Source organism: Homo sapiens, chromosome 18, assembly GCF_000001405.40.
Source record: "Homo sapiens chromosome 18, GRCh38.p14 Primary Assembly".
Lineage (NCBI taxonomy): Eukaryota > Metazoa > Chordata > Mammalia > Primates > Hominidae > Homo > Homo sapiens.
In genome coordinates, this window is record NC_000018.10 from 42,684,787 (window position 1) to 42,702,996 (window position 18,210).

At 33.8% G+C, this 18,210-nt stretch overlaps 1 long non-coding RNA gene across 1 annotated transcript in view; it reads left to right on the forward strand.

Moving 5' to 3' along the window:
• LINC00907 (long intergenic non-protein coding RNA 907) overlaps window positions 1-6,640 on the forward strand; it is a 504,759-nt gene extending 498,119 nt beyond the window's left edge. Inside the window, exon 10 of the long non-coding RNA NR_046174.2 lies at window positions 6,266-6,640. This is a non-coding gene — a long non-coding RNA (long intergenic non-protein coding RNA 907). The remainder of the gene's footprint in view (window positions 1-6,265) is intronic.
• The last annotated feature ends 11,570 nt before the right edge of the window (window positions 6,641-18,210 follow it).

Sequence of the window (18,210 nt, forward strand, 5' to 3'; positions counted from 1 at the left end):
ATTAGAAGAATCATGATCATTGTTAAAATGATCATGCTATCCAAAGCAATATACAGATTCAATGCAATTTCTATCAAATTCTAAAATGCATATGTAGAACCTAAAAAGAGCATGAATAGATAAAGTAGTCTTAAACAAAATGAACAAACCCAGACCAGAGGCACCATATTACCTGACTTCAAATTATACCATAAGGCAATAATAATCAAAACAGAATGGTACTGGTATAAAAATAGACACATAGATCAATGGAACAGAAAAAACAATAGAAATAAAACCACATACCTACAATCAACTAATCTTCAACAAAGTCAACAAAAATATACACAAAAGAAAAGCACCCTATTCAATCAATGGTGCTGAGAAAATTATATAGCCATATGAATAAGAATGAAGCTGGACTTATACCTTTCACCATATACAGAAATCAACACAACATGAATTAAAGACCTACAAGTAAGACTTAAAACTATAAAAGTCCTAGAAGAAAATTTAGTAAAAACACTTCTGGACATTGGCGTAGGCAAAGAATTTATGATGAAGATCCCAAAAGTGAACACAACCGAAACAAAAATAGACAAGTGGGACTTAATTAAACTAAAAGCCTTCTGCACAGCAAAGAAGCAGTCAACAGAGTAAATGACAAGCTACGGGATGGGAAAAGTATTTGCAACCTATGCATCTGACCAGAATCTACAAGGAACTCAAACAGCTCAACAAGAAACAAAAAATAACCCCATTAAAAAGTGGGCAAAGGACATAAACAGATATTTTTAAAAAGAAAACATGTAAATGGCCAAGAAAAAAAATGTTCAACATTACTAATCATCAGAGAAATGCAAATTAAAACAACGAGATACCATTTTACACCAGTCAGAATGGCCATATTAAAAAGTCAGAAGCAACATATGTTGGCAAAGATGTGGAAAAAAAGGAATGCTTTTACATTGTTATAGGACTGTAAATTAGTACAACCTCTACAAAAATACGATATGGAGATTTTTCAAATAACTGAAAATAGAACTAGTATTCAATCCAGCAATTTCCCTACTGGGTATATACCTAAAGGGAAAGAAATCATATCAAAAAGATAACTGCATTTTTATGTTTGTCATAGCACTATTAACAATAGCAAAGATATGGAATCAACTTTTGTCCATCAACAGAGCACTGGATAAAAAAAGGGATATACATATACCATGAAATACTACTCAGTTATTTTTTAAAATGGTGTATATGTACAACTTTTTTTATCCAGCTTATCTTTGTTGGGCATTTAAGTTGATTCCACACCATTGTTATTGTGAATAATGCAGCAGCAGACATACGTGTGCATGTGTCTTTCTAATAGAACAATTTATATTCCTTTAGGTATATACCCAGTAATGGGATTGCTAGGTTGAATGGTATTTCAGGTTTAGGTCTTTGAGAAATCACCACACTCTGTTCCACAATGGATTAACTAATTTACACTCCCACCAACAGTGTATAATGCATTCCTTTTTCTCCACAACCTTGCCAGCATCTGTTATTTTTTGACTTTTTAATAATAACCATTCTAACTAGTGTAAGATGGTATCTCATGATTTTGATTTGCATTTCTCTAATGATCAGTGATGTTGAGGTTTTTTTCATTTGATTGTTCGTTGATGTATGTCTTTTTGAAGTGTCTGTTCATCTCCTTTGTCCACTTTTTAATGAGGTTGATGTTTTCCCTGTTAATTTGTTTAAGTTTCTTATAGATGGAATACTATGCAGCCATAAAAAAGAATGAGATGTCCTTTGCAGGAACATAGATGGAGCTGGAGGCCATTATCCTTAGCAAAGTAACACAGGAACAAAAAACCAAATACTGCATGTTCTCACTTACAAGTGGGAGCTAAGTGATGAGAACACACGGACACATAAACGGGAACAACACACACTGGGACCTATTGAAGGGTGAAGGGTGGGAGGAAGTAAAGTATCAGGAAAAACAACTAATGGATACTAGGCTTAATACCTGGGTGACTAAATAATCTGTACAATAAGCCTGTATGATGTTTATACAAATTTACCAGTGTAATGAACCTGCACATATACATACCCCTGAACTTAAAATAGAAGTTTTTAGAAAACAAGAATGAGACAACTTTCTCTGTACTAGCAAGGAAAGATTCCCAAGACATACTGTTAAGGACAAAAAGCAAGTTACAAAACAGTTTATATAATGAGCTACCTTTCATGTACACGCATATGAGAGGAGTAAGAACATGTATTCACATTTATTTTCATTTACGTAAAGAAACACTAGACAGATATATAAGAAACTATTAAGAAAGATATATAATAAAGAGCAGAGTTTCTACAGGGTAGACCAGCCAGAGGTGGAAAATACTACTACTCAACCTGCACCTTTCAGAATAATTTTTTCATGTTTTTAATTTACGTTCACTACCTATTTATTTGGTTCAGGACTCCATTTCCTTCACTTTGAGACCAAGTAATCAGGCTTCAGACTTCTTACCTCTGCCTGCCAAAGTCACTAACCTCATGACAGACATAATTTAGGTTAGAAGAATAGCAAAGTTCTTCCTCAACTGTTTCCTCAGAAAAGAACAAACTGATAAAACATGTGGGCCCCTAAAATATGAACATTATCTGTAAGACTGAGTTAAAATGTGTTCTAAAAACATCTTCTAAAAATGTGAAAACAGCAGAGGTATGACCATTTGCTAAAAAAAAAAAAAAAAAAAAATGTTGGGGGGACAATATGTTAAAAAATATGCATGGAAAAGCAGTATAGAGAATGGTCCTCCTTCTCTACTCCTTTTAAAATTTTGATTTCATACTTGAGTTTTCATAACGGACTTTTGTAAAGAGGGGAGATTTGCATTCAGGTGTAAGATTACAAGCATTTTAAGGCCACTTTCAACACAAGTATTTTTTTTTTTACTAATCACTTCTGTGGTTCCGCTGCCCCAGACAAGAAAAAAAAAGAGAAATGGAAAGGGAAAGCTACGTTCAGGGCACGTAAAGGTTTTATCTAGCTTTAAGGGTTAAAAGAATTGGCACAAAGTTTAAAAAAGTTAAGCCACTTGTCTAAAAAAAAATTAAATAAAATCATGTCTTTTGCAGAAACATGGATGCTGCAAAATGGAGGCCATTGTCCTAAGTGAAATAACTCAGAGACAGAAAGTCAAATATTTCATGTTCTTATTTATAAGTCAGAGCTAAATATTGGGTATACATGGACACACAGAATGGAATAATAGACATTGGACACTATAAAAGTTGGGAGGGTGGAAGAGAGATGAGGTTTGAAAAACTACCTATTGGGTAAAATGCTCACTGTTAGTGTGCTGGATACACTAAACATCCAGATGTCATCACTATTTAATATATACATGTAAGAATCTGCATTTGTATCCCCTAAATATATAAACATTTACAAATAAAACACTGAAACATAAAAAAAACAATCTGGCATAGACAGTGAGATATTATGTCTGTTAGTAGTTTAAGCTTCAGCTGCAGGACCGGTTAGCCTCACTGAGAATCCACACGGCAGGGGTGATAGCCAGCAATATATGAAAAAGTCCAAATTCTAGAAGCAGCTATGCCAAGGTATATTGAGCTACACCTCATTTTATGCAAGTTATATTGGTGAGTGTAGGAACGTTTTTATTAAATAAATTAGTTCTTCGGTAATTATGTTGGTAAATAATAAAAACAGATGTTAATTGGTAAAATTGCAAGGTATTCAAGGTATGTGGTTGACCAAAAAATATAGAATCACTTCCACTGTTTAAAAACAGAGCATAGAAATTCAGTCAGAAGAGTAGTCTCTATGTTAGGAAAGGAACTGGAGACTATTTGGTCCTGCCATTGGTTTGTGAAAAGGGATAGTTACATGATGATGATAAGAGTAACAGAATCCTACCTCTGGAAGTATGTGTGTGTTGTGTGGACCTTTCAGGCAAGCTGATAGAGTATCACAAAGAAATTGAGGAACTGCAAATTTACAGAACATGAAAAGGAAATAGTGTGTGCCTGCTTACAAATAAAGGAGTTTTTGTTTTTTAAATAAACATTGTTCATGTGGCAAAATTTGGTCTATAATTGGTTCTCAGTGTAATTCTGATTGCAAGGTTCTGAATGGAGCTAACTGTCACAGGGCATTACATAGTTCAGTAGCTCTTATTGCCTCCAAAAACAGCCCAAGAGTTAGACACAATCAGATTGCCTTGAGTCAGTTTCCAATGCTTAGGAATAACTTTTAGTGACTACTTTTAGCACTTTAGCTGACCAAGGAGAGATTTGAGGAAACAGACCAATTTTTGATGCTACTTAGAGTATGAAGCCAGTATCTTAAGGCATGTATCCACAATGTGTACCAGAGCCCACACTAAAAAAGTTACCTTTCTTCAACAAATATGCAGAGTTGAAGATGGGAAATTTAAGGGAGGTGACTGAGAAAAAAAGAGATGTTATTCAATGAGAATATGGATTTGAGGTGATAACAGTAAAGTGCTTTTGAAGCACTTTTGAGAAGCTCGTTTTTGTAGGAGGAATATCGACACCTGGGAAAGTTGCATTAAATAAATTATGCTGCCAAAAGCACACCAGGAGCGTAGATGCGCTATGAACACAGAGACACAGAGATGAATTAATGAGGACATCTTGTATTAAATCATTTGACAACCTGGATGCCATTTGTCATTGAAATGCAACTAAATATACATTTTATATACTATAAAATGCTCACTTTCAGATAGAGTGTATTACAATGTGAATATATCCACCCAAGTGGATGGATATATTTTTCTCTGCCTAATTCCCTATGGGGATGTGTGCTGTCAGAAGGATGCACACTTAGATGCTGGATAGGGAGGGCAGGACAATGATAGGCCTCCTGCAAGTGGCACCTGGCAAACTGCTAAAGAATTCATATTAATGGGGAAAGCTAGAGGGCTTTTGTGGAATGTGGAAATACTTTAACCCACTCCCCCCTCTCCAGGGTCCATCTGTATACTGTTGCCAGGTTCATCTTCTTCAATCGCCAAATTTTTCATATCTGTCTCCAATTTATAACCCTTCAAAAAGTTATTTATTTCTCACAGATGAAATCCAAATACCTACACTTGGCAGTTCAGACCTTGCAGGGTATAGCCTATGGAAAGAAACCCTTCTTGGAATAAGCTGGGGATTTTCATGTTTGCTACACTTACCTTAAACTAGATTGGCTGTGCTTTTCTCAAGCTTTTTCACTCTTTGCTTTGCCAAATTTTATTCTGAAAAGAATCAAAGGTTTTGTGTTTGGGGGAAAAAAGGGTGTGGCTCTGTTCCCAGTTGATTCTGTAGGTAGTTCTAGGAAAAAAGAAAGAGCAAAACTATAAAACCTTCCTTTTCGTGAGAAAACATTGCTTGCCCACAAACTCTGTCTAGGCATTCATAAGCAATTTACATAATCAACATGGATTCCAAGTATCTCTGCACTCAACTGCATCAGATAAAAACAGTTTGTGCAATATAAATTAACTTGGCTCTCCCAACTTCCTATTTATAGTTAAGGAAAAGCTCTCTTACCATAAATGGAAAGAGGATGTTCTAGGATCAGAAACTTGTATCAATGTGCCAAGGAAGTAACACTGCAACTTGCCCCTTCTGAAATTATTACTTATCCAGGCCTTCATTTTACCACTGGAGTGAGAGGCATCTAAGGAAAGTATTAAGAGAGAGAAATAAATGTCCAAAGAGTGGAGCAAAAGAGATTTGTGTAAGCCCAAGTGCAAAGGAGTCTGGTTCTGTGCCTCATGACTGGTGCCAGTCATCCCATCTGTGGCCAGGCCGAGTTAAGGTAGGATAAAAAAATCCGTGTTCCAAAATATGTGCCTATCAATGCTTCTCTTTCTTTACTTTTCTCGTGAAAGATGAATTGCAACCTTTGACTAACATGACAACATTTTTTTCCATATCTGAGACAAGTTTAACCAGGGAACAGTCCATTTGTGGAGGCTGCCTAAGGTGAGATTAGCAGAAGAGGTAACTTAGAGTCCCAGAGTAAGTGTAGGAAGCAGAGGTAGAGAGAAATGAAAATAAACGGCATCTTACCCTTTACTTTCCCAACCCAGGGTTCCAATTGGTTGGAATACACACCTGGCCAGGGATACACTGAAGAGCATACCTGAGTTATATCTCTCTATTTTCATTTAGTACTTCCAATTTGTTTCCTAAAATCTTGGGTTAGTTTCACATTCCCTTTTCTTCTCTCCTACCCTCTTAGGAACCTCAGTAAACATCAGGCACTCAGTGCTCTCCAGACTGCAGTGGTGGTGGAGCTGAGAGGACTGTGTTTGGAGGAGTAAATGTCCACTCTCATGCTATTTTATTTCTCAGGCCCTTTGTCATGGCCTTCTTAGTGGTAAGATCTGGAAGGGTACAATATGGTGATAGATGTAACTTTTGCTTTTGAGAGGTAAGGTGAAGTGAGGCCTGAGTAAAGATTCACCAGTTTAGGAAGACATTGCAGTTTGTTTCTATTTGTTCAATTCAGTTTACTAGGTTAGAGAAGAAGATAGAGACTTCAAGCAAGGCCTGGCACATAAATCTTCCCTTGGCTAAATAGTCAATCATTAAAATCTCTCTTGAGGATGTAAAACTTTTACTTTCTACTTGACCCCACCATAAAAAAATTAAATAAAATAAAGAGTTGCTAATTTTGTGGGTCAGAAATTTCTAGAATATTGAGTGGATCATGTTTTCTACTGAGTGGAGTTACTCTTCCCTCTGTTTTCCATTCTATTACACTTACTCCAGAGAGATAATGTTTTGGCCTTCCTCTCTCCCTCCCTCTCCCACCTCTTTTCCTCTCTGGGAGAAGAGGCATGGCAGTGAAGAATATATAATATACAATGCCAAATAAAGTGAGTAATTGCTTTAGGACAGTGGTTCTCAGACTTTGGAAAGTCATGAATGAGTAACTTTTTCAGGGACTTACATAAGCTTGATGATATTATTTGCCAAGATCAATATATAGCTTTACATAAATAAATATAAGTATACATACTACCTATCATCATCATAGTTTGATAAAATAGAGGATAGTTTATCATCAGAAATGTAATAAAATATTTTGGGTTTTAAAAATAATAAAATTGGCTTTTAAAGAAGCTGTATTATGAAATTTCTCCTGGTCAGACAAGGACTTCATCACTTGTGTAGTAGAAGATTGAAAAAGGGAAAGTTTACTATTCACTGATGTTGATCTGCTAATTTAAGTCTAACTCTGGATCATGTTTGGCTTGGAGACGTGAATGAAAGAAGAAGGGCTGATCATGGCAAAGCTCTCTATGTAATTATCATTTTTAACAGTTACATTGAAGCATAATTGTCATACAACAAACTACTCCCATTTAAAAGGTGCACTTTAGTGAGTACATTTTGACGTGTCTATACACCTGTGAAACAGCATCTCAATTAAGATAGCATCTCAATTAAGAAATTCAAAAAATTTCTTAGTGCTCTATTGCAGTCTCTTCATTTAGTGCTTCTCATATCCCTAGGCAATCACAGGTTTTTTACTATAGATTAGATTGCATCTTCAAGATATTTATATCAATAAATTGCCCGGTATATATAGTATATACTCTTGTGGGGGGATTACTAGGCTTCTTTCACTCAGCATACTTACTTTGGATTTATTTATGTTGTAGTATATATTAATAGTTCTATTTTATGTTGTGGAATAATATTCCATTACATAGATTTACCACATCTTGTTTATACATTCATTTGTTTATGGCCCTTGGGTTGTTTCCATATTTTGGGTATCACTAATAAAGCTGCTATGAACATTCATGTACACATCTTTGTATAATGTGCTTTTTTCCTCTTGAGTAAATACCCAAGAGCAGAATGGCTGGATTGCATAGTAGCCATATGATTATTCCTACAAAGGGTTTTTACCCTTTTACATGCTGACCAGCAGCATATAAGAGTATTCCTTTACTCTTTTTATTTCCAAATTTGGTATGGTATTTTTTTCAGTTCTATCCATTCTAATAGATGTATAGTTGTATTCATTATAGTTTCAATCTTCATTTCTTATAAGTAATTATATTGAACCTTTTTTTTTTAAATTGAGATGGAGTTTCGCTTTTGTTGCCCAGGCTGGAGTGCAGTGGCGTGATCTCGGCTCACTGCAACCTCCACCTCCCAGGTTCAAGTGATTCTCCTGCCTCAGCCTCCCAAATAGCTGAGATTACAGGCATGAACCATCATGCCTGGCTAATGAACATTTGTACATATGCTTAATTGCCGTGAATGTATCACCCTTGGTAAAGTGACTGTTAAATCCTTGGCAACCTTTTCAAATTGGGTTGTTTGTGTTCTTATTATTGAGTTTTGAGTGAACTTTATATATCCCTGACAAGAGATATTTTTTAAAATCAGATATATGCTTTGCATGTGTATTCTCCCAATCTGTAGCTCATCTTTTTATCCTTTTATGAATCTCTTTCAAAGAGAACCAATTTACAGGTTTGTTATTTTACGTCTTGTCTGCTGGTGTCTTATCTAACAACTCTTTGCTTAATCCACATCACAGAATATTGTCTTATGTTTTCTTCTATAATTTTATGATTTTACTTTTAATGTTTACATCTATGACCCATCTTATTTAATTTTTATATAGTTTTCCAGGTATAGATTGAAGTTCATTTTTTTGCATGTAATGTTTATTCTAGTATCATTTGTTGAAGAGTTTTCTTCTCTTCTAAATTTACATAGTTATTTTAAAAAATCAGTTGTATATATATATGTGTAGGTGTGTTTCTGAATTTTCCATTCTGTTTATCTATTTGTCTATCTTAATGCCAGTATCACACAATCTTAAAAATCTTGAAATCAGGTGATGTTAGACCTCCAAGTTTGTCCTTCTGTTTTAAAGTCTTTAAGGGATATTCTAGGACCTTTGCATTTTCATATGAATTTTAGAATCATTGTGTCACAATTCATACAGAAAATGTCTGCTAGAATCTTGATTAGGACTATGTTGACTTTACAGATCAATTTGGAGAATATTTAATATCTTAGCATTATTGAGTCTTCTGACTCATATAGAAGGTAGCTTCATTTATTTAGATTTTCTTAATTTTTGTCAGCAATGTTTTATCATCTTCAGCATGCAGGATTTTCACATATTTTGTTTTTTTTCTAAATATTTCAAATATTTTGAATTTATTATACATTGTTTTTCTTTTAAGTTCTGATTGCTTATTGCCAGTATATAGAAATGCAATTGAATTTTTATGTAGCTACCTTGTATTCTGAAAATTTTCCAAATTTACTTATTGGTTCTGGCAGCCTTTTAATAGATTCCAAATAGATAGATATGGTCTTTGAATAGATAGATAATAGATAGATAAACAGGTTTCTAAATAGATAAATAATATTGTGTGTGAATAAAGAGAGTTTTACTTCCTTGGTTTCATTCTTGTTTCCTTCCATTTCTTTTTCCTACCTTATTGCATGGACTTGAGCCTCCAGTATATCCTTGAACAGAAGTAAGGAAAGTGAACAACCTTGTCTTGTTTCTGACCTTAGGGGGAAAGTATTTACTTTACATTATGAAGTATTGATGTTGAGTGTTGATATTTTTGTATGTGCCCTTTATCAGGTTGAGGAATTTTTCTAACATTTCTGGTTTGCTATGTGGTTTTCTCAGGAATAGAGGTTGAGATTTGTCAGATACTTTTTCTGTGTTTATTAAGACAATCATAAAGTTTTAAAATCTATTCATATGGCAAGTTGTATTGATTGATTTTCATATTTCAACCAGCCTTGAATTCCTAGGATAAACCTTACTTACTTTTAATCATAATATACTTTTTATATATTGTTATATTCAAATTATAAAATTTTCTTTGGAATTTTTTAGTTAATTTCATGGGGATCTTGGTTTATAGTTTTCATTATAATAATGGCTTTGTCCAGTTTTGGTATCAAGGTTTTGTGGGATGAAAGGTGGTCCTCAAAAGGATATATCTTCATTCTAATACCCAGACTTTGTGAATATTATCTATATGGTAAAAGAGTGAATAGCACCTTTTATGGGAAAAGATGATTAAGTTAAAGATATTTAGAGGTGATGCTTATCTAGGATTATCTGGTTTGCTCTAAATCCAGTGATGAGTTTCTCATAACACAGAGGCAAAGGAATATTTGAGACACACAGAAAAGGTGAAGGCACAGACAAAGAAAAAACAAAAGGCAAAGTCATCACAGAGGCAGAGACTGAAGGGATGTGGTCACAAGCCAAGGAAAACTTGAGAACACCAGAATTAATATTGAGATTTCAGGAAAGACACTAAATAATGAATCAGAAAATAAAATGAAGTTGTTGCAAGAAAAATCAAGAATCTTGGATAGGGTAATGATGAGCTCGAGAATTCACCCCACTAAGAAGAGAGGCATGCTGTGGACATTAGCCCTAGGGATTGTGGAAAACCCACAGAAAAGCCTAGACAAGAAATTAGAAAAAATTATCCATAGGATTTTTCCACAATACTTTTATAATTGATTTCCTTCACCAATTATTTCTATCAACATGTTGGAGTTTGCTAAGTGGTTAACATGTGAGGTTTAAAAAAACAATTAACTAAGAAAATGGAATTAATTTGACAAAGTTTTAAGTATTCTATAATGAAGTCTTTTATGAGAGTATGTGTTTCATGAAAAGAAATAAAAATTTGAAATTAACCATTTCTTCAAAAATCAATGGCAACTCTGAAATTGATTGTTTCTGGTCTTTCTTTGGTCTTATATATGCTACAGTCTATGGTTGATTAAGCCAAGACCTTGCCTTTTTCACATGTTCTTAAATATTTGTCTACTAGAATATAAAAATGTGATGACAAACTGATGTAAATGGAAAGCTTCACCTTGCCAAATGGATTCATTTCATGTAAATTGCTACCCCAGAATTCTTATAACTGGTTATAATTCCCTGAAAAAAAAAAAAAAAACCTGGCTTCATAGTTTAAAAATGATAAGCTCCTAGAAACATTAATTTTAGTTTTTTTCTCAGCTAATTGAGTCAAATGACCCAAGTGTAAAATTTGCCAGCAGCATTGGTTTTATTTAATAGAAAAAGCTTTCTTATCTACAGAGAACAGCAAAGAAAGCCTTGGGTGTGCACATTTGTCTATGAAGCAGCAGTATCTTCACAGGCCTTGGCCTTTGGGGCAAAACAAAACAAAAACAAAAACAAAAAAAACACGCAGAACAAAGAATAGTCATCTTGAATTTTGAGTAGATACACATTTAGTTGCACTTGTAGATTACCTACAGGCAATGTGTCTCTAATTCTTTCCCCTTATAAATTTTAATTTGTCATCCTGGGATTTAAATATAAAAGGATTAATGAACATTTTCAGGGAAAAAGACCAGACATACCCACTTAGCATCTTTCTTTGACATCTCACATAACCTCTCAGCATCTTTCTCATATTTCCTGTTTAATTTAACCTGGTAATTTTTATTAAGGACAAAACCCACTAGAGAAAAATGTAAATAAAAGGTCAGAGCTCTATCTACTTTGTTATAAAGCCATTTTTATGATTTATTGTTTTTTTGAGGGCATTCTATTCTCTCGAAATTTAGTGTTTAAGTTTTGTCTGTCTCCAAAGAGGAGTATCTTGCATTCATCTCTACAAATGTTTATTAAGTGCCTATGTGTACCAGATATGTACAAAATTCTGCAAATATTAAGAAAAATAAGACGTAATTCATTTCTTCAAGAAGTGCTCATCCCAATTGAGGTGATAGATATATTTACCATTAACAAAATACAGAATAGAAAGAGCTGTGTATGGGGGGTGAAAATTGCTGTGGAATCTCAAAGAAAGAAATACTTTTCCTTTGCAGTCTTTGTATTGCAGTTCACTACCACTTAACAACAGCAACATGAAATCTCATGAGTAATAAACTTGAATGTAAAAGACAGCTTCAGAGACAGTGAGCTGACATTTTACAGTTTGCCCTAGGAAGGTACCCTAAGTTTGATTTATCCATATTTTGAAAATACAGCCAGCACAGCCTTGACAGATGCTATAGAGCAAGTACAGTGGTAATCCAAAGTCAGCCTCAATTCTAGGCTGAAACATTTTTTTTTCTTCACACATCTTTGCACCTACATAACTTGATACAACTTTAGAAAATTTATTATCTGGACATTATCAGTTTTGCTCTGAGAAGAAGTTTACTATGAGTTTTTGAGAGAAGGAGATATCGCTATTGATGACAAATGACTAAGAGAAGATTTTAATCTACTTTATTTGTTTTTTATATATCATTTGGAGATGGTTAGAGAAGTCAAACTGCAGGTGAGCAAACATAATTTTTTGGTGTTCCTTTAGTTTTATTGATTTTTAAAGAAACAGACAAGAAAGGAAAACATGGCTAGCTAATGAATTCTTTGTTTCTTAGGTATACTTCTATATACTACATTTAACCTATTTAAATGCATCTAATTTAGATTTAAAATAACAGAGAAATTTCTCCTCTATTTATATGGGATTTATTGATGAGTGGAGTTTTACATAGTTTTGGAAGGCATTAGAGTAAGGATTCAGGGTATAACGGCTTTTTATAATAACAAATGTTCAATACCTTACAATGATTGATATTTCTGTGGTTGAAACAGCAGTAACAGTGGAAGATTTTTATAAGAATTCCATTTTAGCTTCATTAGAGATCTCCAAATTATTAGAGAAAAAGTGACAACTGCTTCTGCAATTGTTATAAAACAGATTGTTCTAGCAGTACTCTTTAACTATTTATTTTAAAAGAATTTCAAATTCACAGAAAATTTGCAATAGAACTAAGAGCCTCTATATACCCTTTGCATAGTTTCCCTAATTGTTAACATCTACCAGATTTGCCTTAGTGTTTTCTCTGTATATTGCACTTTTTCTCTACCATGTGAGAGTGAGCTATATGCATGACACACTATTAGCCCTCAGTGCTTCAATGTATATTTGCAAAAAAGAGAGACATTTTCTTCATGAGAGTACAACCATCAAAATCAAAAAATTATCAAACCCATGTTACCATCTTTTCAACTGACCCCGTTCAAAGTTTACCACTTCTCCGAATTATATTTACAGTCTACTGAATCATGTGTTGCATTTAGTTGTCATAACCTTTTAATCTCCTTTAACCTTGAATATTGCCTGCCTTTCCTTGTCTTTCATGACGTTGATGTTTTTAAAGAGTATAGGCCTGTTACTATGTAGAATTTCCTTCAATTCACATTTGAGTGGGTTTCCTCATAATTTATGCATAACTTATACATAAACAAAAAATTGGGAGAGGCAGCAATTCATTACAAGTGATGCTATGTTTTCTTCATTGCATTATATCAGAAAGCACATGATGTCAATTTGTTCCATTACAGGGATATTAACTTTTATTACTTGGTTAACATAGTGTCTGCCTTGTTTCTCCACTGTAAAGTTAATTAATAATAAGTATAATAAATTCTTAATTAATAAGTGATAAGTATTTTATGAGAAGATACTAGGACTTATGCTGTAAGGTAGACCTGTCCCTTCTCCATTTATTCATTTTTATTCAATTATTGATATCAGAATAGAATGATGGGTTCTTATGTGAAACTCATATAATATAATAAAACCTCATACATATGAGTTTCTAGCAGTACTCATACATATAAGGTTTTTACATATGTATGTACTTGAGGTTTTATTTTGAATGCTCATTTTTGTTTTAGTCAATACAATAAGAGCCCCCTTCAAGACGGCTCCTTTGTCTTTTAGATATATGCCCATCATTTTCTGAGTACTTTCCTACTATCTGGTACCATTTCTTCTAGGCTAATCTGCTATTTTTTGTGGCCTCAGTTTTGGAGTCAGCCATATCTCCAAGGACCTTTCTTTTTTTTTTCTTTTATTTTTTAGTAGAGAATAGTGTTTAGAAATCAAACACACACACATAAACACATACATATATTTGTTTCTATCTATTTATCTAGTTGTCTGTCTGTCTGCCAAATATAAGTTCACCGCACTCCCCCTAATTTCAACCCAACATCACAGAGTTTATTCTAGTATTCACCTTTTCATGTTTGTACAGTGAGGAGTCTAGATGAAATAATTATCAAAGTTTGTATATATTTGCTAGTTCTCCCCTGTGTATGAACAGTTTAACAGCCACAGAACAAAAAGTTCAGTGCTGGGCAAGCTTCATGACCTGCACTCTGGCACATCTTTCAAAAAACATAACCCAGAAGAGGAGGAAGGGGAAGAGAAAGGAGGAAAGAAGAAGGAAGTAGGGAAAGGTACCATACTTATTTTTGTACATTAATGTATGGTTTGTATTTATGTTATTTAGGGTGTGTGTATACACACTAAATACTATATATATATATATATATATATATATATATATAGAGAGAGAGAGAGAGAGAGAGAGAGAGAGAGAGAGAGAGAGAGAGAGAGAGAGAGAGTGTCTCACTTATTCTGCCACCCAGACTGAAGTGGAGTGGCATGATCACAGCTCACTGCATCCTTGAACTCCTGACTCCTGGGCTCAAATGATCTTCCCACCTCATCCTCCCAAGTAGCTGGTACTACAGGTGTACACCACCACACCCTGCTAGTATTTTTATTTTCATTTTTTGTAGAAATAGGGTATTTATGTTATTGAACCTATACTTGTAGTACTTAATGTCTGTAATAGTATCGAGTATGGATATTTCTTTTAAATTATACTCACTTGACCCACTTTTATAACCAAATATTGTCATCCTTGCAGCTAAAAAGAGGGTATCCATGTTATGCCATAATTCCATTTGTTTTACCCCAATATTTTATAATTTTTGTGCAAATTATAGCGTATATAAGAGGTAAGAACTACTACAGAGAGAGAAGTAATAATGTGGTGATGATTGTGTGTGTGTGTGTGTGTGTGTGTGTGCTTGCATGCATGAAAACTTTTTATTTTTCATCTTTTTAATTTATTTTTATGAGACAGTCTGGCTCTGTCACCCAGGCAGGAGTGCAGTGGTGCAATTTCAGCTCACTGCAACCTCTGCCTCCCAGGTTCAAGCGATTCTCCTGCCTCAGCCTCCTGAGTAGCTGGGATTGCAGGAGTGTGCCACCACTCCTGGCTAAGTTTTGTATTTTTAGTAGAGATGGGGTTTTGCCATGTTAGCCAGTCTGGTCTCGAACTCCTGACCTCAGGTGATCTGCCTGCCTTGGTCTACCAAAGTGCTGGCATTGCAGATGTGAGCCACCGTGCCCGGCAGACAACATTTTTTATTAATTGTTGAGGAAGGCTGACTGACCTGGCTAATTGAGTCATGAACAATAGCACAACCTTTCTGGTAAAAATAAATACTTGTAAATAGCTATACATAATCTAATAGCATACGTTTCTTAACCCACAACTATGAGGAAATGCAGCCTCACACGTATAAGCGTTTTATTAGCTCTTATTAGCTCGGAGACACAAAGTAGGCATATAACCTGTTTGTTAGGCATGATGAAATCTCAGATCTGGTTCTCTGTGAGATCCAATGGCCCTTATTAAGAAAAGTGAACTTAGAGTAAATGTGACAACACATTAGGGGCAAGTTTCAGCTAACCACAATTGTTACCAACAGCCAGCTACTAAACACAAGATCAATTAGGAATCAAACCTAGGGAGTGGTTGTAAGTCATGAACAACGAAGAACTCAGTAGATTCTTACACTCTATGCAGGCAACAATACAGACTGTATCAGTGTTTTAGATAGTATGTAACCACCATTAATTTCACCAAGAAACTTACTAGTACAAAGATATTTCTAGGATTCATTATTCTAACTAACTTGAGGTACAACAAATATACATTTTAGCTAAAATGCCAAACGACTAAGTGTTAAGATATATTTACCAAAAGCCAAAAGTGAAGTTGTATCATTATCTGTGGTCAAAAATTAAATCAATTGACCACATTGCTATATAAGATCAAAATTGAGCACCAATCTTCCCTTTCCACACACTCACTATTGCCTATGCCAAAATATTTTCAAATAAATTTTAAGCCAATTATAGTCATAATAACAATTCATCCCTAAATATTTCAGGTTGTTTTTCTAAAAATAAGTCTTTTTACATGGCTAAAATGATAGAATCAACTTAGCAACAATAGCAATAATTCTTCAACAACCTAATAACTAATAAAATGCCTCCTTCTGTCCAAAGATGTCCTTTGTTGCTCACCTCTCCCAGTCATAATCCAACTCAAACTGTACATTACATTTTGCTATATACAATAAGATTTTTTTTCAATCTTCAACAGTCTTTAATGCAATGTCATCCTGCTAATTGACCTGTAAATTGCTCATTTTGGATTTTTGTGATTACTTCCTTGTGGTATCATTTGATGTTCTCTTTTTCCTTTTATCTCCTATAAATTGAAAGTGAATTCTAAAGATTCAATTAAATTCAACATTTTTATGTTACATAGAGAGGTAATTTTATATCTTGCATATTATTTTTCTTGCATTTGAGGATCCTTAGGAACAAATTACCTTTCATTGATTTAATACATTTCAGTCAATATAATCATTCTTATCTTTTTAATGTTCACATTATCACAACATTATTCTGTGGAACCTCCTTCAAGCTAACACCTTTGTTCTTTTGACATGATCAAACGATGATTGAAAACTTTCCTCTTTTTTTTTGCACAAGATGTACCATGCACCCCTTCTACTATTCCTGCCTCACACATGGAAATGAGACATTTTTCCCAGGAACCCAGTATTCTTTTAGTTGAAAATTATATTAGAAACAAAAGTCTAGATTCTTAGGGTATATATCAGCTTTGGATAAGATAATAGCTCTTTGTCAATTTTATTGGATTAGTAAAGATGTATTTTTTTTCAAATCATGAGTTCAAATTGCTATTTTTAGGTCAGCTGTAACATCACAGTGTGGATATGATTAGGAAGTAGAGTTCCTCAAAAAAATTGAGTTTTCAGGGAAGTCCTTTTAGAAAAAGTGACATGAAAATTGTGAATACAAGCTAATGTATTCACATTAGCTTCCTGGGAAGGACATTCTAGTTAGATGGAGCAGTACATACAAAAACCCTAGGTAGAAGGTTGCTTAGGGTAAGGAGGAATGAGAGATCCAGTGTGGCTGGAGTAAATCCCAGTGAAAGAAGAGAGAAACAGAAGAGACAAAGTCAGCATGGGTGTGGAGAGTGGGGAGATAGAGGACAGATCCTGTACAGTATTGGAAGTATTTGAAGGGATTTACATTTTGTACTAGGTAAGATGGATGACAATAACAGGACATTTTGTTTTGTTTTGAGATAACCAAAGATTCACTGAACCCTGGAAAATGTGAGAAGAAATAGGAGCTTAAGCACTTCTTTGTACATTGGGAAGAGTGTTATTTGCTCTGTATTTCTAGATAAATTTTTGGTAACATGCATTAAAAGCTGAAATGTATATACTCTGATTTTCTAAATCAACTTGCAAGATTTTTTCTTAATAAAGTAGTAGAACAAGTATTCAGAATAATTTACAATAAGAAAAAATGAGAATCTATTAGAGAAATTATTACAACTATGCTAAATTATTTTAATAAAGTATTATACAGCCATTAAAAGGATGACATGAAGCTATATTTTTTTACATGGTGAGTGCTACGTCATGTACACTCAAGGGAAAGAACAACAATAAACTAAGAAAGATAGGAAGAAAGTCATAAACTGCTTCTTTGAAAAGATCTCTTAGTTCTTTTAATCTTAAATAGTTAAGTTTTTGACAAGAGAAATAATAAAAAAAGATGTAATTAAAACATAATTTTAAAAAACAGGTTAGGTATAATAAAATGTAAAATATAATAAAATATATGACAATGAATTTCCCAGAAAAAAATAAAAAATAGTTTACAAACTACAAGCAAAAATAACTTATAAAATGACAAATTGGCTAATAACTTTTAGTGATGGTGAAATTTTATATTTAAAAAAGCTACTTTCCTTCCTTAACCAAATATAAAAATTCTTGGCCTAAATAGTTTTGACATACCTTCTACCAAGCTTTTAAAGAAATAGATATTTTATAACTTATATAATATTTTCCAGAAAAATAGAAAATGAGAAATGATTATTCAGTTGTTTTGAGGTTCGTATAAATTTTATCCTCAA